The 21,194-nt window shown below is 42.6% G+C and overlaps 1 protein-coding gene across 4 annotated transcripts in view; it reads right to left on the bottom strand.

Annotated features, from left to right (window-relative positions):
• The window catches only part of UNC5C (unc-5 netrin receptor C), a 386,470-nt gene continuing 369,329 nt past the window's right edge, over positions 4,054-21,194 (bottom strand). For all 4 annotated transcript variants that reach the window (NM_003728.4, XM_005263321.4, XM_047416346.1 and 1 more), the window contains 2 exons: positions 11,704-11,882; positions 4,054-10,949 (listed from right to left, as the gene is read on the bottom strand). In NM_003728.4, the coding sequence (NP_003719.3) occupies positions 10,784-10,949; positions 11,704-11,882 (345 nt within the window). In that variant the 3' untranslated portion in view covers positions 4,054-10,783. The remainder of the gene's footprint in view (positions 10,950-11,703; positions 11,883-21,194) is intronic.

Here is a 21,194-nt window from a genome sequence, read left to right on the forward strand (position 1 = left end):
TGACTGTTATGTTATAGTTGTGCTTATTTATTTATTTATTTATTTATTTATTTATTATCTTTGAAAATATCCCATTGTAGCAGGTGGGAAGGCACCATGAAGGAGGCAGATGCAGGTAAGTTTTTCACATTTCATGGCAGGAGGACAAGAGAAATGGTCTGATGGCTTCTACTTTCTTTGTGAAGGAAACACAGTCATCTACTGAGAGTGAGGGGAAAGGCAGGGAAGTCAGTGGTTTAAGAGAAGTGAAGAAGGTTTAAAATTGCACTGGAAAATTACAGCTTGATGGGGAAAGAGCCAGATGGTTACGGGCAACTCTGAGGGCCAGGTTAGGCTTCCTGAAGCTGACTGTGGCACAGTGGCCAAGCGTAGACTTGGGACTGCCAGGTGGCCTGTTGGTGTGAATCCAGCTTCCCTCACTCCCTCAGTTGTGTGACTGGGCACATTTTGACCTCTTTATCATGCAAATGCAGCAACAGGTCATGGAAAGTAAGAATTATTACTATCAAGGGGCTGATGGGCCAGAGGAGGGAAGGAATTAATTAGAGGAGCTAACAGACCAACAAACAAACAAACAAACGAACAAAAAACCCAGGTCCCAGGACAGGGAATCCTGATGGGGCGGAGGTGGTATCTCCGCAGTTACTGAGAGAGGGGCTGTGGTCAGTTTCTTCCCCTTGAAGATGTTTCTTCCCCTTGAAGATGAGAATGATGTTAATATCCACTATCTGGAGTTGTTCTGAAGATGAAATGACATAATCCATGCACCAAGCATGTGGTAAGTGCTCAACTATAGTATTAACAGAAATTCATAGTGCCACTTTTCTTGTGGTTTATGATTTTTTTTATCTTTTTGTCAGCAACCCAAATACAGGTATAGAGACAACGAAGATAGGATTCATTCAGGGTACTGGTTTATCATGCAAACGCAGCAACAGGTCATGGAAGGTAAGAATTATTACTATCAAGGGGCTGATGGACCAGAGGAGGGAAGGAATTAATTAGAGGAGCTAACAGACCAAAAAAAAAAAAACAAAAAACAAAACAAAACAAAACAAAAACCCAGGTCCCAGGACAGGGAATCCTGATGGGGCGGGGGCGGAGGTGGTATCTCCACAGTTACTGAGAGAGAGGCTGTGGTCAGATTTCAGAGGGGGAGCAGCTGAGAGTGTGATCGCAGGAGGGGGTGAATTTAATTCATAGGCAACATTGTTGGTGATGAAAGAGGAACCCAAATCCTGGCCTTTAGATTTGTTGTCTTCGTGGATTTTGAAGGTGGCAGTCTTGGGAGAGGAAGGTTGTGAGGCAAAATTCTCCAGTGCCACAGGAGAATGGGAAGGGACGCAGGCAGTGAGAGGCAGAGAGAGGGGCTGGCCAGCTGAGCCGGGAGGCCTGACATGCAAAGCATTGAGTTTTTAATGCAATAATCTGGAATCAGCAGTTTTGTATGAGAAAGACCCCACCTGCCTCCCAGCTGTGGAGTATTTGAGATGTGGAAGGAGGAGGCTGTTGCTGCTGCCCCTGAATTGTCACCTCTGCGAAAGGGGAGGGAATGTGTTAGGGCTATTGTTCCAAGCATTGTGGACCCTGGAGGGCAGAATGAGAAGTTTGGTTTGTGAGGGGATCCATTGGAGATTGGATCAGGACCAGGGAAGCCCAAAATTGTCTGGGGAGTGGAGAGTGCAGGAAGGTTTGCGTCTGACGCAGAGAGAATGAAGAGTTTGCGTGAGATTGGTGGTGGTTAGCCAGCTGCACTTGTGTCAAAAGAGTGCATCCTGATGCTGGAATTCAGACTGACCTGCTTAAATTCCACCATTTTCCACTTTTTTCATTCTTTGGAAGTACATAATCTGAGCCCAGTCTTCCCACCTGTAAATTCCCACCTCTTCGCGCTCTTGTGAGGAACCAATAAGATGAGTGTCTGAATTATGTGAGGGCCCATGCCAGGTACATCACAGGTGCTCAGAAATACTGCTCTTTCCCCTTTCTTTCTTTTCTTTCTTTCCTTCCTCTGTTTTCTTTTTTTTCTTTCTTTCTTTTCTTTTCTTTTCTTTCTTTCCCTCCCTCCCTCCCTCCCTCCCTCCCTCCCTTCCTTCCTTCCCTCCCTCCTTCCTTCCTTCCCTCCCTCCCTTCCTCCCTCCTTCCTCCCTCCCTTCCTCCCTCCTTCCCTCCCTCCCTTCCCTTCCCTTCTTTCTTTCTTTCTTCTTTTTCTTTTTTTCTTTCTTTCTTTCTTTTTTTTTTTTGACAAGGTCTCACTCTGTCTTGCCCAGGCTGGAGTGCAGTGGCATGATCATAGCTCACTGCAGCCTCGATCTCCTGGGCTCAAGTGACTCCCATCTCAGCCTCCCAAGTAGCTGGGACTACAAGCATGCACCACCATGGCTGGCTAATTTTATGTTTAGTAGGGACAAGTCCTCACTATGTTTCCTAGGCTGGTCCCAAACTCCAGGGCTCAAGTGATCTCCCCATCTTAGCCTTCCAAAGTCCTGGGATTACAGGCGTGAGCCACTGTGCCTGGCCAATGCTGCTTTTTCTTCCTGCCATTAGTTTAGCAGGATCTACAATTAGCAACATTTAAAACCAGCTGAGATTTGCTATTGGTACATCTCTCCCACCTTCTGTACACCCCACTTCTGTGTGTCATGGGCTCAAGTTAAACTTTTCGCAGAACTCACAGGCATACTGACAGTAAATCTCAGCTGAGGAAAAAAGGTTATTTTGTTGGCATTGGTCATTTTGTAAGTTGCAAGCTTGTTGTCTCCATCTGGTCACAGCAGCAAAGTACAGATGACTGCACTCTCAGAAGTTTTGTCTCTGCAAAGTAATTTCTAATTTCTACCCTAGGTTCTGATCTGAGCTTAGCTGTGGGGATCTCTGGGGCTGCTGAAGGTTCTTTGCTTGGCACCTGTATGCTGGTACTGAGAGACAGGAGCAGAGGGAGGCCAAGCTTCAGAACTCTCCAGGGACCTCCACTGAGAGACAGGGGCTTAGGTTGGGCCCTCAGTGAAGTCTTTGAAAATGCTTGCATGCCATCCTAGGTAAGGCCTTCTCAGCAGGAATCTCAGCTACCAAAGCTTCTAATTAGGGGTTAGTGGTCTGGTAACAGGGCTGAGCCTTTGCCACCATGGGTTTTCTATGTAAAGTACAGTTTTTGTTTGTGTTTTATTGTTTTCATTGTATTTTCATTGTTTTATATGGAATTTGAGTTCTCTGGCTCAGCTGCAGCCCTTACATCTCCCTTTGATTTTACCCAGGTTCCAGTTTATATATTTCCATTACTTCCTTAGCCTTGGAGAAACATTTGAATTCATGATCCCAGCATGGATTGTTTTAAGTCACTTTCTTCCAGCCCATGGCATGGACCAGCTTCTCAGTGCTGGGCAATTGCTTACACCCTTCAGCCACGGAGGCTGAGGGGAGGGGTGGGGGCAGGTGGCAGTCCATCTAAGGAAGTGTCTCCAGGTCGTTCTCTCATGGAGGACAGGGCTGTCTTTGATTCTAGTCTTCAGCCTCACAGCTGCTTCGCACCTCACAGCTGGAGCCCTTGGCTTGCTCGCCCTAAGGCAGTGGCCAGCAGTCCTGTACCAAGCTGAACTCCTCTGCTGGTAGTTGCTTACCTTTCATTTCCTACCTATTAGTATAGTTGTTTGCAAGCTTCATTTAAAATCAGATCTCTGGGGGCAGGGCTTGACACTCTATTTAGAAGCTCCCGCCCCAGAGAATTCTGCAGAAGTTCTAAGACATTGGTTCTCACCCTTAACCGCTCATTAGTACCACCCGGGAGCTTTTAACACCCAAGACCCAGGCTACCCCCAGACCACTTCCATCAGAATCTCTGGAGGTGTGACCCTGGCGTTAGTTCTTAAGGCCTCTCTGGTGATTCCAGTGTGCAGCTGATTTTTTAGTAGCACCATGCTAAAACCTCATCCTGTGCCTGCAGGAGGTTGTGATCACCATCCACGCAGGACCCAAAGCCTTTCTGTCCCACCGAAGAAACACGTGGCAGCTCTGAACACGCAAGAGAACCTTGTTATTAAGTGAAGGAGGCAGCACTTTGTTGCTTATAAATATAATTTATTACCTGTTTAAAAATTCTTTCTTACATTTTGTACATGTTGGCTGACAGAATAAATGCAGGCAATTTACAAACCAAGGGGACTGCAGGGAAAATCAGGATTGGCAGCCAGGGAGAGAAAAGAGGCACACCCGGAGCTGGTATCCCTCACCTCCACCACTCAGCAAGGCGCCGGACAGATATCCGGAGGGCACTCTGCCTCTGCCGGGGGGTTTTTTTAGAAAAGGAATTGCATAGAAGATACAGCAAGAGGGAACTCCACAACAACAAAAGTGTTCCATATCGGAAAAGCCAAGGTTGTCATGTTTTGTTTAAAAAAGAAAAACGACAAAGCACAAAACCTCAATCCGACCTTTCTGCAGTTGAACTGTTCCAAAGGGGACAGTAGGTGGATGACACTGCCTCTTCAACACGACTGCTGGGGATTTTTCTCTGACAAACATTGGTGTCTTCTTTACAAAGAGCAAAGAGGAAGGTCACCAACTTGCTTCAGCTCAACATTAAACTCAACACATATAACACCATGACATCACACACACACAGTGATGTTCCCTGCAACTGGGCTCGATGCATTATGTCTGGAGGGCGAGGGCTGCGCTACCAATGGCAGATCTAGGAAAGCGTGAAGAAGAGAATGCAAATCACTTGTTCCACTGTTCTGACTGCTGTACTTTTTCTTGTCCATGGCCTGGAGGAGTAGACATCTGAGTTTTTACCCCTACATGTACAGATGCCATTTGTTACTTTCGGGATAGAAAAGGCAAAGGTATTTTACACCAGCTGTAGATTTCTTGCTCTTATATGTCACTCCGAACAGAGTTGTTTTAACATTGAGAACCTATGTAGCTCAGGTCCCCATTCTCTGATGCTGCCTCCATAGTGCTCAGGATCAGAGGCCAAAAGAGAGCCCATCAATCCTTAGGCTGCTGATCAGCAAAACCTGCCTACAATTCATCTTCTACACACCAGTACTGAGGGTTATTCCACCCCGGATCAGCGCCATCAGGTTCTACAGCTGGTCTGATAGTACTTAGTCCAGTAGACCTTTGGAACTTAAAAATGACACACAATTTAGACATATTTGTAAAAGACCCTTAAATGGTATGACTTGCAATTTATATTTTTGTTGAAGGACAAATCTGAAATGGTATGTTAAAAGGCTGGCATTCAGTAGCAAATACTATGGCAGGTGGGCAGCTGACTATATCTCAGGGTAGCTTCCTTGTTTCTACTCAGAAGCTAGTTGGGCCACAACTGTCACGACATTCTGCAGAGATTCCCAACCTGGGATTCCAGAAGATCTCTGGACAGGTCCCTTCAGTAGGCAAGCGTCTGAGTAGACAGCAGGCTGATGAAGAGCTGCTAATAATTGGTGGGCTTGCTGTGCCAGTACACTTGCGGAGTACCTGTTGGTTTGTCCTGCTGATGCCCCCCAACCATGCTAAATAGGTCTGAGGCACACATTACATTTGGTTGAATGAGCCCGTTAATATCCTACCACAGATGAATACAATGAGGTGACAGGAAAACCTAGGAACCATGACTTATGAAGACTGGCTGTTAAAGTAGCATTTATGAAAATGGGGTAAGCACAAGGCTGATAAAACTAAAGGATCTGGAAGCTCATGGCTAGACTTAGTCTGCAGAGAAAACCCACCCAGTTCTACACAAAGCCATCTCCCCACTTTTCAAAAATAGGTTTTTCACACTAGAATTCTGGAAATGACTTCATTTGGCTTTCCTGGCCTGTATGGATATGGGTTTACATAACATTGGTTACAATATATTTATTCCCCCTTATGCCTTATTCCATTAAAAAGAAATAATTAGAGATGCAAAGGAAATCTTCCAAAGTGATCATTACAGCCAGAGATTATACAAATAGATATCTTAGGGTAGAGAAACATTACTTCATTGCCCAGAGGCAAAGTTCTAAAGATTTCAGTCAATACTAGCTCAGCAAGGTTAAAGAATATATAAAAATAATACAAAAAGAAAAATAAAAGCCAAAGAGTAATAGTTGGTCCTATGAGGCACTCGAGAGGTAAAAAAATGTTTTGTTAACTTGAGATAATAAAATATTTTCCTTATTAGATCTATAAAATCTAATGCTTATCAACCATTATCTTGAGCAATGATGTACTGCTTCACAAAAGCTCTTCCATTCTCAAAGAAGATGGATAAAGTCCCATTTCATTTCAGCTGTGTTTCCATGGGACCCCTCTCATTCATTAGCCTTGGGCTTACACTGAGTTCTCCACATGAAACTGATGACTTGTCCAGAACAACTGCCCAGCAAAAGCTAAGACTCATTCAACTTGAAGGCTTGAAAACCCAACAAGTAAACCTTTTCTACCTTCTTTATGCTCTCTTGCAAGTCCTTATATAGGTTTATATTTTCCTGGCCCCATAGGGGCAGACCTTATAGAGGCAAAGACCTTTGAATTCTGGGGAGATGGTGATCACCTTATTAACTCCCTTCTGCATACGTGGATTACAGAGGAGTAAGCAGACCAAGAGCACAGCTGCTGTGATCCTGACAGAGACACACAGAAGGACACGAGACAAGAGCCTTGTTGCTCTTTGCCAGGAGAAGTGAAAAGTCTTGATTCCACCCTCAAAACGTTGACTTTTCAGATACCTTACTTGTAGGAAAAAATACCTTAAAAAAATTACTGGTCGCATAGTTTCAGGGTGTCCTGAACTCAGTCCCCACGACTTTTTTCTCCTGAAAATCGCTCTACTTTTTGATAGTTGAGAGACTTAAATCTATAAAATAGTATATATGAAAATGGCTAATGATTATGCAGTTTGATATTGAACACCTCACCCAAAAGTTGTCCAGTTCTTGAAGAGCCTAACTTGCTCACAGCAGGATGGGGGTTTTCTGCATAGCAGAGGTGACTGTTCATTTGGAAGATGCCGTTTGTGAAACAGCTGTTAGCTGTGAGAACCTTGGTGTTACACAGGTTTGTCATCACCATGCCAGTTATCAATTCTGAATCCAACTTCTATTCCTTCCAGATACATTAAGGAAACTTGAAAGAGTGTGATAAGAAGAAAATAAAAACAGGATGAAACCTCTGCCTTTGGATTCCCAAATTCAGCAGAAAAGAAGCTGCTTTCTTCCCTTTGATTAACAACCCCAATTTTCTCTTCCCTAGACATAGTATTCCATTCGCATATATAAGACTTATTTCTTTCTAAGCAGATACTTCTTACATTTCCAAAGATAAATATTAAGGAACTAAAAGGAGATTTAAAGTATACAAACCCCAATGAAAACCATAAGTGTTAAAAATGACAACTCTTCAAAGACTGTTTTATATAGATTTTACATAGTTCTGTTACAAGAAGCAACTGAAGATATGTTGTGTATGAATGAGTTGATGTACTGGGCTCACAGTGACCTAATATTGAGATGAGTGATGCAAATGAAAAAAAAGTGAGAATAAGAAAATTATAAATTTGAAGTGAAAATTTCCCTACATCTGTTTGTCATAAAGGTCCTTGAACTCTACAGGTTTTCATTCCCTTCGTCAAACACATTCTAGTGAATATTAAACTCAGGTTAGATTGTGTTGTACACCACTAGATGGCAGCATGCACAAATGATAGTTTTTTCTATCCAAATGAAACCAGCCAAACTGCCTCTCCAGCGGTGTAGAAAGAAGCAGGATGTATCACATAGAATGGTTGATGAAGTGGCTTCCTATGAAATGAACTGTTATATCTGGACCTTCTAAGTTTGAAAGCAATCTAACAGCTATTACTTTACTCCAAAGGAGAAGGAAATCAGAATTTGTAGTGAAAATTATTTGGTATAAATAGTGTATGTATGGAAGTTGTCATTCACTTAATAGGAAACATTAAGGGTTCTGACAGATGAGTACCTCACACACGAAATCAATCACTTTTCCCTTTTCTGGTGGTGGGAAGTTGAACCAAAAAAGCATCTGAAGTGAACCCCAAGGGTTCTCAGTGACTTCAGTAAGACAAACAATTCCTGTTTGTGTTCAATAGTTCTGTGTTGGTGACTTTTTAGTCAAAATAAGTTTTTAGTAACAGTTATGGAATTGATTCATGTTCATAGCTACATAGTTGCTCCCCTCTAGTTTTCACTAGGCATAGAAGTTTCTTTGACCATTCAGTTCAGATTCTAGTTCTTGATTTCCATAGATGATTCCACAACCCTGGTACTGATGCGTAATCTTGACAAGTTTATTTCAAAATGTAGGAATGGACAATAGCTCTCTTTCCTCCTCCTCCTTTTAAAAAATGTGTGTGTATAACTGCGTGTATATATATTTGATTTTTAATTTAGAATACAGTTTTACTCATTGCTACAAACATCCACTGAACTTGTTTATAGTGCAATCTCTCCCTTCCCCAGTCAGTGTACAAATATTTTAAATATGGAAATCCTAATGCAGGGGGTGGGCTGAGAGAGATTTTATAGAATATATGTATGTATGTCCAAAACAGAAGATACGGAATAAAAAGCATGAAAGAAAGAAGAGGTTCCATAGCAAGGTATCAGCAGTTCCTCAGGGATGAGGATGGCGGAGGCATCAAGGAATCTCAAGATGCTACCAAAATAGGAGCGGAAACATGGAAAGATGGAAGCACATGTATAATTCAAGTCTGTTCAGCAACTTGTGTGCCTCCAGCCTAAAAGTAAACCACAGTCATGTTCTAAAGGTTCCGATTCATACACATGTCTGCTTGTTCTTCAGTTTTGGTTTTGCTACTGGGCTTTGATTCTTTAATCCCCACCTGCTGAATGAATTGAGTCCTTGTGTTTGTTAAAGAGCTTGTGATGGTCCCAAGGAAACATAATAGTTGTTTACACAAAGTAGTGTGTTGACTAACAAACATTTTGCAGGACAAAAGTTTTTAAAGAGCTAACTAGACAGCTTTTATAAATGCTACTGAATATTATGACAGCAAAGAAAGATTAAGGGTGGGGGGGTGTAGCGTAGAAAAAAATGCACCAAGTTCCTACTGCCAGATAAACTTGTAGGAGTGGTCTAGATATCAAGATGCCAAGACAATAATAAAAAACAGAATTTGCAACCAGTCAGGAAGGCTGGGGGCAGGGGCATCCCAAGAGAGGCTAAGAAAATGATAATAAAGGGATGTCATCTCTCAGTGAACAGCATAATGCAATGATGCAGAGCGACTCAGGCCAAACAAACAACATCATAATGCTGGTTAGAATAATCATCTTCCTTGTCAGAACTACTTGAAAGGCGTAACATAGCCTGGGCAAAAGACCAGCTGATGATTTTTAAATGATGATCCAGGTCAGAGTCCATTGTGGTCTTCAGACTGATGAATGAGACTGGAGGCATCACGGTGGAAGTTGAGCATTTCAGAACTTGGAGATGATCTAATCCCACCCTTTCACTTTCTAGTGAGGACACTGAGGTCGTGTGGTTAAATGACTTTCTCAAGGTGGCGCAACAAGACAGTGACAGACCCACAATGAGAACTGGTTTCTTGATCTCCAGTTTAGAGTCCATTCCTCCAACCACACTGCCTCTAGAGTAGAGCACCATAGGGAGTCGACGTGGGGCCACACAACGGCAATATTAAGTGAACTTAATAGAGAACACGTCTCCTTAAGACTCCTCAGAGGAGAAAGAAAGACCCTGCCTGAGCAAGCTGAAGGAACAGACTGACAAAGCCATTCAGCATTTATCAATCACCTTTCTGGGGTGGAATAAGGGAAAGGTAAAAGGTCAAGGAAGTGATGCATGTTGAATTAAACTGATGACCACACCCACCTTGATAGGTGAAAAGGTGGGACAGGTCTAGTCAATAACCAAATACTAACAAACAGCACTGCTAACAAAAATAGAAATTTAAAAAAATCATTTTACCAGAATACCTGTAAATAATAATAATACCTTTAAAAAAAAACACTTCATATTGCATATTACAAACAAACACACATGTTGTGAAAAAAATGCTTGTTTGTGGGGTTGAACATGAATCACTGTCTTCCCTGCAGTGCTACAGCTTTATTCCCAAAGGGCACCAGAAGGGTCCCTCCAAGGAATAGGAGTCTTAGTTATTTCTTTTTTACACTTAGATTCTCCACTTCCCTGATACAAACAGTAACACTGGTTCTACAAGTTCTAGAAACAGAACACTGATGGGAGGATTATCTGAGACACTTGATGCACACGATTTGTAGCAAAAGTCTGTGATTTCTCTGTAAATTACTAATCTGAAATAGACACAACAAACCGTCCACAGCTTCAACTTCAAATGATTTGAACAAAAATAGAACGAGCCATGGACAGTGTCTGCATCCCTGTCCAATTTGATGTAAACAACATTTGTAGAAATTGGGTTTGTTAAGAAAGTTTATCCATATATCTGGATAGCAATAAAAAGCGTTTCCTAGGAAACTGTAAGATCCTGTACCACACAGCATACAGCCCAACTAAGAGGAAAATTAGGTTGATAGCTAAATTCAAGGTACAAATTTACACAATTTTTCTTAACTCCCGTGATGATGTCCGAGTAAAGTGGGCATGTACATGGGCAGTTGTATCTGTTTTCCTTCTGGCTCCTGCTGCAGTCTTGCCTGTGAAGTGCATTGGTCTCATCTGGATTTCCTCCTCAGCTGTGATTCACCTGGACGGCCACAGACTCCCTGTGCATTTTTGTCCTTCATTTCCCCTTCCAGCATGGTGGTTAATACTGCCCTTCTGCTGCTAAGGACACCACCGTTTCATGTCTTCCCATTTCTTCCAAGACAGCTGCCAGCATGCTCAGGTTTCCATCTGGGAAGTTCTGTGCTTCCCAAAGATCCAGGATTACGCCAGTTGGGCTGGATTTGGTGGCAAAGTAATTCAAGTACCTGTAATTGGGAAAGAGAAAATGTGCTCAACAGTGTGACTTACATATCTATTTTTCCTCAGCTAAACCTTTCTGTCTCTCTACTTGTCTTTAAGTTTCCTGGTCCCATTGTGGCTGACAGTGAGCCATCCTAAATAACTAGCCCATGCTTAATTAGATCAGCCCCAGACAGGGGATGTGATGTTTAACTTTGTGAACCTCAGCTCTGAGTGAGATAATTTAAGAGACAAGATGTCTATGGGTCATATTCTAAACAGGAAATCAAGAGACTTATGTTTTCTTTCTAGTCCAGGCTTGGATGATCTTTGACAGGTCATGCCACATGTTATGTTTGGTAGTGACGGTGACACTCCACAAAGTAGACGCTCCAGAGGTCTCTTTATAACTTAATATCAGTGCTGTGTTGGCATGCTAATTATTAATCAAACATTAGGTCCTGCTCAACTGCAGAGGAGGAGCAATAACTACGGTAGTGAATGGCTATATGATTTGGGGAATTTAGCCCATCAGCTTGGCAAAGTGCATCACAAAACTTGATACTTACCAATGCCAGATAAGCTCAGAATGTCTCTTAGCACTCTTTGCAAGCCCGTAGTGCAAGGTACAAGGACAGAGCTTAATGCATATTTGCAAAATGAAAAATTAAATAGATGTGTGGATGGAAAAAAAAATGAAGCTAACCCTACGTCTAATAGTTATCGGTCCTGGAGGGCACTAACAGAAAGAAGCTAGTCTTGGGGCCAGACCATACCCACCTGTCCAGGTTCAGCTTATGGGCCAGCATCCTCCAGTCATGGCCTCTCGTCTGGGGGGCATCCAGGCTGCTACAGAGCTTCTGCCGGATAGGGAGAGGGATGCTGAAAGCACTGGGCCCCGTGACCGTGGTGATGGTGTTCGCAGGATCCAGCAGCGGCAAATCGATGCCAGTAGGTTCCTGTAGTTCAGGGACAGGAACAACACAGCATTATTTCTGAGGACAAAAGCAATCTCTATTGAACCAATCAACATAATGCCTTGCTTTGAGTGATAAGAAAAGAATGAATGCTGTTATTCTTCTTAGGAAGAATGGCTTCTTCTTAGCCTGAAAGTTGTGCATCACTAGATGTAACCTGGCTCAGAGATAGAGGTACATACATTTTGAGCTAACTTTGCATAGCCTCAGATTTGTGAGTCTTTGGTGAGGACTGGGCTGGATGGAAAGCTCTGGTGTGATTCGATAACAGCTTTACTAATGGGATTCTCCAGGCTGAGAGAGAAGAGAGGGAATATCAGAGCTCCTAAAGGTTTAAATTTCAGGAGAGGAAAATGTTCAAAAGGGCAGTGCTTTGGGAATGAATAGATCTGAGATTCAAGGCTTCTGGAAACAGCCTGACCTTGAGGAGAAAGTCCTGGGCAAATGCTCCAGTAGTTCTGCTAAACTCCACAGAAGATGTCTCAGTTCTGCTTTTGTTGAATGAACTGGAACATAGCTCTCCTCTAAATGATATCAACTTAAGGCTAATTTCTTAAAAAAGAAAATGGTAAACACAGTATATTATTGCCTTAGGGCAAGTTGTTAATGGCATCCTCCAATTGCTGTATATCCTTATTTTTTAAAAATCTAATTTTAGTAGAGAAAACCATAAATTGGCTCTTAAGATAGTCTCAGCTCATAAAACAGCACAAATGCAAAATCTGAATTTCATCTGCAGGAGAAATTCTAATCATTTTCTGATCACTTGTGCTGGTTGGAAAAGCAAAAGCAAATGGTGCCTGGGAACTATTAAAGCAATAAAAGAAAATCTACTTAATCTACTATAAATGCCATCTCTCTCTATTTTTTTTTTCTTTTTTATTTATTTATTATTATTATACTTTAAGTTTTAGGGTACATGTGCACAATGTGCAGGTTAGTTACATATGTATACACGTGCCATGCTGGTGCGCTGCACCCACTAACTCATCATCTAGCATTAGGTATATCTCCCAATGCTATCCCTCCCCCCTCCCACCTCCCCCTACCCCACAACAGTCCCCAGAGTGTGATGTTCCCCTTCCTGTGTCCATGTGTTCTCATTGTTCAATTCCCCCGTGAGTGAGAATATGCAGTGTTTGGTTTTTTGTTCTTGTGATAGTTTACTGAGAATGATGATTTCCAATTTCACCCATGTCCCTACAAAGGACATGAACTCATCCTTTTTCATGGCTGCATAGTATTCCATGGTGTATATGTGCCACATTTTCTTAATCCAGTCTATCATTGTTGGACATTTGGGTTGGTTCCAAGTCTTTGCTATTGTGAATAGTGCCGCAGTAAACATACGTGTGCATGTGTCTTTATAGCAGCATGATTTATAGTCCTTTGGGTATATACCCAGTAATGGGATGGCTGGGTCAAATGGTATTTCTAGTTCTAGATCCCTGAGGAGTCGCCACACTGACTTCCACAATGGTTGAACTAGTTTACAGTCCCACCAACAGTGTAAAAGTGTTCCTGTTTCTCCACATCCTCTCTAGCACCTGTCGTTTCCTGACTTTTTAATGATTGCCATTCTAACTGGTGTGAGATGGTATCTCATTGTGGTTTTGATTTGCATTTCTCTGATGGCCAGTGATGGTGAGCATTTTTTCATGTGTTTTTTGGCTGCATAAATGTCTTCTTTTGAGAAGTGTCTGTTCATGTCCTTCGCCCACTTTTTGATGGGGTTGTTTGTTTTTTTCTTGTAAATTTGTTTGAGTTCATTGTAGATTCTGGATATTAGCCCTTTGTCAGATGAGTAGGTTGCGAAAATTTTCTCCCATTTTGTAGGTTGCCTGTTGACTCTGATGGTAGTTTCTTTTGCTGTGCAGAAGCTCTTTATTTTAATGAGATCCCATTTGTCAATTTTGGCTTTGGTTGCCATTGCTTTTGGTGTTTTAGACATGAAGTCCTTGCCCATGCCTATGTCCTGAATGGTAATGCCTAGGTTTTCTTCTAGGGTTTTTATGGTTTTAGGTCTAACGTTTATGTCTTTAATCCATCTCGAATTGATTTTTGTATAAGGTGTAAGGAAGAGATCCAGTTTCAGCTTTCTACATATGGTTAGGCAGTTTCCTCAGCACCATTTATTAAATAGGGAATCATTTCCCCATTGCTTGTTTTTCTCAGGTTAGTCAAAGATCAGATAGTTGTAGATATGCGGCGTTATTTCTGAGGGCTCTGTTCTGTTCCATTGGTCTATATCTCTGTTTTGGTACCAGTACCATGCTGTTTTGGTTACTGTAGCCTTGTAGTATAGTTTGAAGTCAGGTAGTGTGATGCCTCCAGCTTTGTTCTTTTGGCTTAGGATTGACTTGGCAATGCGGGCTCTTTTTTGGTTCCATATGAACTTGAAAGTAGTTTTTTCCAATTCTGTGAAGAAAGTCATTGGTAGCTTGATGGGGATGGCATTGAATCTATAGATTACCTTGGGCAGTATGGCCATTTTCACGATATTGATTCTTCCTACCCATGAGCATGGAATGTTGTTCCATTTGTTTGTATCCTCTTTTATTTCCTTGAGCAGTGGTTTGTAGTTCTCCTTGAAGAGGTCCTTCATGTCCCTCGTAAGTTGGATTCCTAAGTATTTTATTCTCTTTGAAGCAATTGTGAATGGGAGTTCACTCATGATTTGGCCCTCTGTTTGTCTGTTATTGGTGTATAAGAATGCTTGTGATTTTTGTACATTGATTTTGTATCCTGAGACTTTGCTGAAGTTGCTTATCAGCTTAAGGAGATTTTGGACTGAGACGATGGGGTTTTCTAGATATACAATCATGTCATCTGCAAACAGGGACAATTTGACTTCCTCTTTTCCTAACTGAATACCCTTTATTTCCTTCTCCTGCCTAATTGCCCTGGCCAGAACTTCCAACACTATGTTGAATAGGAGTGGTGAGAGAGGGCATCCCTGTCTTGTGCCAGTTTTCAAAGGGAATGCTTCCAGTTTTTGCCCATTCAGTATGATATTGGCTGTGGGTTTGTCATAGATAGCTCTTATTATTTTGAGATACGTCCCATCAATACCTAATTTATTGAGAGTTTTCAGCATGAAGGGTTGTTGAATTTTGTCAAAGGCCTTTTCTGCATCTATTGAGATAATCATGTGGTTTTTGTCTTTGGTTCTGTTTATATGCTGGATTACATTTATTGATTTGCGTATATTGAACCAGCCTTGCATCCCAGGGATGAAGCCCACTTGATCATGGTGGATAAGCTTTTTGATGTGCTGCTGGATTCGGTTTGCCAGTATTTTATTGAGGATTTTTGCATCAATGTTCATCAAGGATATTGGTCTAAAATTCTCTTTTTTGGTTGTGTCTCTGCCAGCCTTTGGTATCAGGATGATGCTAGCCTCATAAAATCAGTTAGGGAGGATTCCCTCTTTTTCTATTGATTGGAATAGTTTCAGAAGGAATGGTAGCAGCTCCTCCTTGTACCTCTGGTAGAATTCGGCTGTGAATCCATCTGGTCCTGGACTCTTTTTGGTTGGTAAGCTATTGATTATTGCCACAATTTCAGCTCCTGTTATTGGTCTATTCAGAGATTCAACTTCTTCCTGGTTTAGTCTTGGGAGAGTGTATGTGTTGAGGAATTTATCCATTTCTTCTAGATTTTCTAGTTTATTTGCATAGAGGTGTTTGTAGTATTCTCTGCTGGTAGTTTGTATTTCTGTGGGATCATTGGTGATATCCCCTTTATCATTTTTTATTGCGTCTATTTGATTCTTCTCTCTTTTTTTCTTTATTAGTCTTGCTAGCAGTCTATCAATTTTATGGATCCTTTAAAAAAACCAGCTACTGGATTCATTAATTTTTTGAAGGGTTTTTTGTGTCTCTATTTCCTTCAGTTCTGCTCTGATTTTAGTTATTTCTTGCCTTCTGCTAGCTTTTGAATGTGTTTGCTCTTGCTTTTCTAGTTCTTTTAATTGTGATGTTAGGGTGTCAATTTTGGATCTTTCCTGCTTTCTCTTGTGGGCATTAAAGTGCTATAAATTTCCCTCTACACACTGCTTTGAATGGGTCCCAGAGATTCTGGTATGTTGTGTCTTTGTTCTCGTTGGTTTCAAAGAACATCTTTATTTCTGCCTTCATTTTGTTATTTACCCAGTAGTCATTCAGGAGCAGGTTGTTCAGTTTCTATGTAGTTGAGCGGTTTTGAGTGAGATTCTTAATCCTGAGTTCTAGTTTGATTGCACTGTGGTCTGAGAGATAGTTTGTTATAATTTCTGTTCATTTACATTTGCTGAGGAGAGCTTTACTTCCAAGTATGTGGTCAATTTTGGAATAGGTGTGGTGTGGTGCTGAAAAAAATGTATATTCTGTTGATTTGGGGTGGAGAGTTCTGTAGATGTCTATTAGGTCTGCTTGGTGCAGAGCTGAGTTCAATTCCTGGGTATCCTTGTTGACTTTCTGTCTCATTGATCTGTCTGATGTTGACAGTGGGGTGTTAAAATCTCCCATTATTAATGTGTGGGAGTCTAAGTCTCTTTGTAGGTCACTCAGGACTTGCTTTATGAATCTGGGTGCTCCTGTATTGGGTGCATATATATTTAGGATAGTTAACTCTTCTTGTTGAATTGATCCCTTTACCATTATGTAATGGCCTTCTTTGTCTTTTTTGATCTTTGTTGGTTTAAAGTCTGTTTTATCAGAGACTAGGATTGCAACCCCTGCCTTTTTTTGTTTTCTATTTGCTTGGTAGGTCTTCCTCCATCCTTTTATTTTGAGCCTATGTGTGTCTCTGCACGTGAGATGGGTTTCCTGAATACAGCACACTGATGGGTCTTGACTCTTTATCCAATTTGCCAGTCTGTGTCTTTTAATTGGAGCATTTAGTCCATTTACATTTAAAGTTAATATTGTTATGTGTGAATTTGAGCCTGTCATTATGATGTTAGCTGGTTATTTTGCTCGTTAGTTGATGCAGTTTCTTCCTAGTCTCAATGGTCTTTACATTTTGGCATGATTTTGCAGTGGCTGGTACCGGTTGTTCCTTTCCATGTTTAGTGCTTCCTTCAGGAGCTCTTTTAGGGCAGGCCTGGTGGTGACAAAATCTCTCAGCATTTGCTTGTCTGTAAAGTATTTTATTTCTCCTTCACTTATGAAGCTTAGTTTGGCTGGATATGAAATTCTGGGTTGAAAATTCTTTTCTTTAAGAATGTTGAATATTGGCCCCCACTCCCTTCTGGCTTGTAGAGTTTCTGCTGAGAGATCAGGTGTTAGTCTGATGGGCTTCCCTTTGTGGGTAACCCGACCTTTCTCTCTGGCTGCCCTTAACATTTTTTCCTTCATTTCAACTTTGGTGAATCTGACAATTATGTGTCTTGGACTTTCTCTTCTTGAGGAGTATCTTTGTGGCATTCTCTGTATTTCCTGAATCTGAGTGTTGGCCTGCCTTGCTAGACTGGGGAAGTTCTCCTGGATAATATCCTGCAGAGTGTTTTCCAACTTGGTTCCATTCTCCCCATCACTTTCAGGTACACCAATCAGATGTAGATTTGGTCTTTCCACATAGTCCCATATTTCTTGGAGGCTTTGCTCATTTCTTTTTATTCTTTTTTCTCTAAACTTCCTTCTCGCTTCATTTCATTCACTTCATCTTCCATCGCTGATACCCTTTCTTCCAGTTGATCGCATTGGCTCCTGAGGCTTCTGCATTCTTCACGTAGTTCTTGAGCCTTGGTTTTCAGCTCCATCAGCTCCTTTAAGCACTTCTCTGTATTGGTTATTCTAGTTATACATTCTTCTAAATTTTTTTCAAAGTTTTCAACTTCTTTGCCTTTGGTTTGAATTTCCTCCCATAGCTCGGAGTAATTTGATCATCTGAAGCCTTCCTCTCTCAGCTCGTCAAGGTCATTCCCTGTCCAGCTTTGTTCCATTGCTGGTGAGGAACTGCGTTCCTTTGGAGGAGGAGAGGCGCTCTGCTTTTTAGAGTTTCCAGTTTTTCTGCTCTGTTTTTTCCCCATCTTTGTGGTTTTATCTACTTTTGGTCTTTGATGATGGTGATGTACAGATGGGTTTTTGGTGTGGATGTCCTTTCTGTTTGTTAGTTTTCCTTCTAACAGACAGGACCCTCAGCTGCAGGTCTGTTGGAATACCTGGCCGTGTGAGGTGTCAGTCTGCCCCTGCTGGGGGGTGCCTCCCAGTTAGGCTGCTCAGGGGTAGGGGTCAGGGACCCACTTGAGGAGGCAGTCTGCCCGTTCTCAGATCTCCAGCTGCGTGCTGGGAGAACCACTGCTCTCTTCAAAGCTGTCTGACAGGGACATTTAAGTCTGCAGAGGTTACTGCTGTCTTTTTGTTTGTCTGTGCCCTGCCCCCAGAGGTGGAGCCTGCAGAGGCAGGCAGGCCTCCTTGAGCTGTGGTGGGCTCCACCCAGTTCGAGCTTCCTGGCTGCTTTGTTTACCTAAGCAAGTCTGGGCAATGGCGGGGGCCCCTCCCCCAGCCTCGCTGCCGCCTTGCAGTTTGATCTCAGACTGCTGTGCTAGCAATCAGCGAGACTCTGTGGGCGTAGGACCCTCCGAGCCAGGTGCGGGATATAATCTCCTGGTGTGCCGTTTTTTAAGCCCGTGGGAAAAGCGCAGTACTTGGGGGGGAGTGACCCGATTTTCCAGGTGCCGTCTGTCACCCCTTTCTTTGACTAGGAAAGGGAACTCCCTGACCCCTTGCACTTCCCGAGTGAGGCAATGCCTTGCCCTCCTTCGGCTCACGCACGGTGCGCGCACCCACTGACCTGCGCCCACTGTCTGGCACTCCCTAGTGAGATGAACCCGGTACCTCAGATGGAAATGCAGAAATCACCCATCTTATGCGTCGCTCACACTGGGAGCTGTAGACTGGAGCTGTTCCTATTCGGCTGTCTCTCTCTTTTTAAAGCACGTAACTTGTTGGTGTTCCTCACTAGTTGCCAGAGGATGAACTAACTGGCCACACCCAGTTTCAGCCATCATGAAGTGTTTGGTTCCTGCTGAGTGCTCAGCTCAGGGGCTCAACACCACCATCATCACCCAGAGCGCCCCCCATATGCTGCCCTGCACCGCTTCAGTGGCCTCCCCAGCCGTGAATGCACTGGCACTGCAGGCGGTGAGGTTGCAACTGCCTGTGTGCCAGTGTTGATTAGCAGTATGTTCCACATTCTGCGATCAGCAGCAAGTGCTCACTTCTAGGCTTATGCAATCCCATGGAACAGGGTCAATCCAGGGGTGTGGAGGGCATTTGAAATCTTTTGCCATGGTATGCACAGTGCTGTTGGCTGTGATCATGGTATTTGTCCTCAAATACATATATATATGTATTTAGAGACAAGGTCTTCATGTGGTAGGAGGGGCATTTGACACTTCTCTGTCACCCAGGCTGGAGTGCCATGGTGTGATCATAGCTTGCTGCAGCCTTGAATTCTTGGGCTCAAGCGATCCTCCCACCTCAGTCTCCCAAATAGCTGAGACTATCGGTGTGCACCATCACACTGGGCTAATTTGCCTTTTTTTTTTTTAAGAGATGATGGGGTCTCACTGTGTTGTCCAGATTGGTCTCAAACTCCTAGGCTCAAGTGATCCTCCTAGCTCAGCCTCCCAAAGTCATGGGATTACAGGTGTGAGCCACCATACCTGGCCCAGTGAGGGATCTTTATATGACCTTCCTGGTTGGCTGGTATGAGGCTGCAAGGTGACCATGTGAAGTGCAGAATGCAGTCGGACATGGAGTAGGGCTGTTCACCTGTGCTTCCACCACTTCACAATCTAATCTCAGGTTGCCCCGTCCTTACCGTGACTTGACCTGACTCATAGGCTCCTTAGAGTCTGAGCACCACTCACTAGTTCTCATGCCATTTCTAAGGATGCACCTCTAATAGTTATTCTGCTCTTTCTTTTCTTTGATCTCTGTCAGGCAAAGTCCTCAAAGCCTGGTCCAAAAGTCCTGTGCCCTGGGGCCCCCCTGGGCGAGCATACCCTAGGCGTCAGGCCTGGAGGTCTCCTCGGTGCCTCCCAGCTCTTCTGTGCTCCTCACACTCTGCTCTGTGCACATTGGCTGTATTTGTAGGTTACTGCCTTTTATTTCTCACATTTCTTTCTTTTTGGTGAGAGTATATCAATCAATCAATCATCCTCAGACCTCTATGATAACACTGTGCCCCACACACAAGAAGCTACTCAATTAATGTTTGTTTGTTGAAATGAGAGAAAATATTTGTCCTTAGTACAGAAAGAAGATGAAGCCAACCTCTGATAGAAGCCCACCCATAGACTAGGGTGTTGAGCTGCCTTCCAACTAAATGTGGAAGTTAAATCCTGAAATGAGAGGCCAGTTGAAGATAGATAGGCATGGATCTTGGGAAGGCGTGCTCACATATTCATGTTGTCCCCATTTTCTTGTGGATAAAGAACTCTCCTCAGCATTTCATGTGGGCATTGAAGTCCTGAGCTCTCTATCCCTGGCTACTCACTCAGCCTATTTATTTCTGTGTAGATGAAACAAGCTCAATAGGGCATCATTTCTTTGTTTCTTTCTCTTATCAAATGGCTGACAACAGCCTTGAAAGTTAAAGTAAAATACGTTTATACATTTACATTTCATCTAGTAATTTTAGTTGCTATTAGTTCTTCCTTTACTTCCAGGTAAAAGTAGAGTTTACTCTCACAGAATGCTTATTTCAATAATCATTTATAATATCAGTACCATTGGTCTTTGATGTTATGATTCCCTTATGTAAACATATGATTTTTCAACATTAGTCAAACAGCTGCTATGGGTGATGACACACATATTCAGGACTCCACAGTCCTGAAACAACTTTCTATTCTGATATTTGGACTTTTCCTAAAGTCGCTTAGAAAAACTAGATTTTCCCAATGGTCATTTTGAGCAGGTTATGGAAAGCAGAAGATGTAAACAGATGAAATGGCTGTAGCAGAGTGATATTACTTTGTACATTTATTTTAAATAAATATTATTTGTGTATACAGAAGTGCTGTGCACCACAACTTAAGAGGTTATAAGATCTAGCAAATATAAAACTTAATTATAATTGCTTTTATTACCTATAAATCTATTATTAAAGTAAAGTAGATGAGAACGGGCGTGGTGGCTCACGCCTATAATCCCAGCACTTTGGGAGGCTGAGGTGGGTGGATGACCTGAGCTCAGGAGTTCGAGACCAGCCTAGCCAACGTGGTGAAACCCTGTCTCTACTAACAATACAAAAATCAGCTGGGTGTGGTGGCATATGCCTGTGATCCCAGCTACTCAGGAG

Source organism: Homo sapiens, chromosome 4 (assembly GCF_000001405.40).
Source record: "Homo sapiens chromosome 4, GRCh38.p14 Primary Assembly".
NCBI lineage: Eukaryota > Metazoa > Chordata > Mammalia > Primates > Hominidae > Homo > Homo sapiens.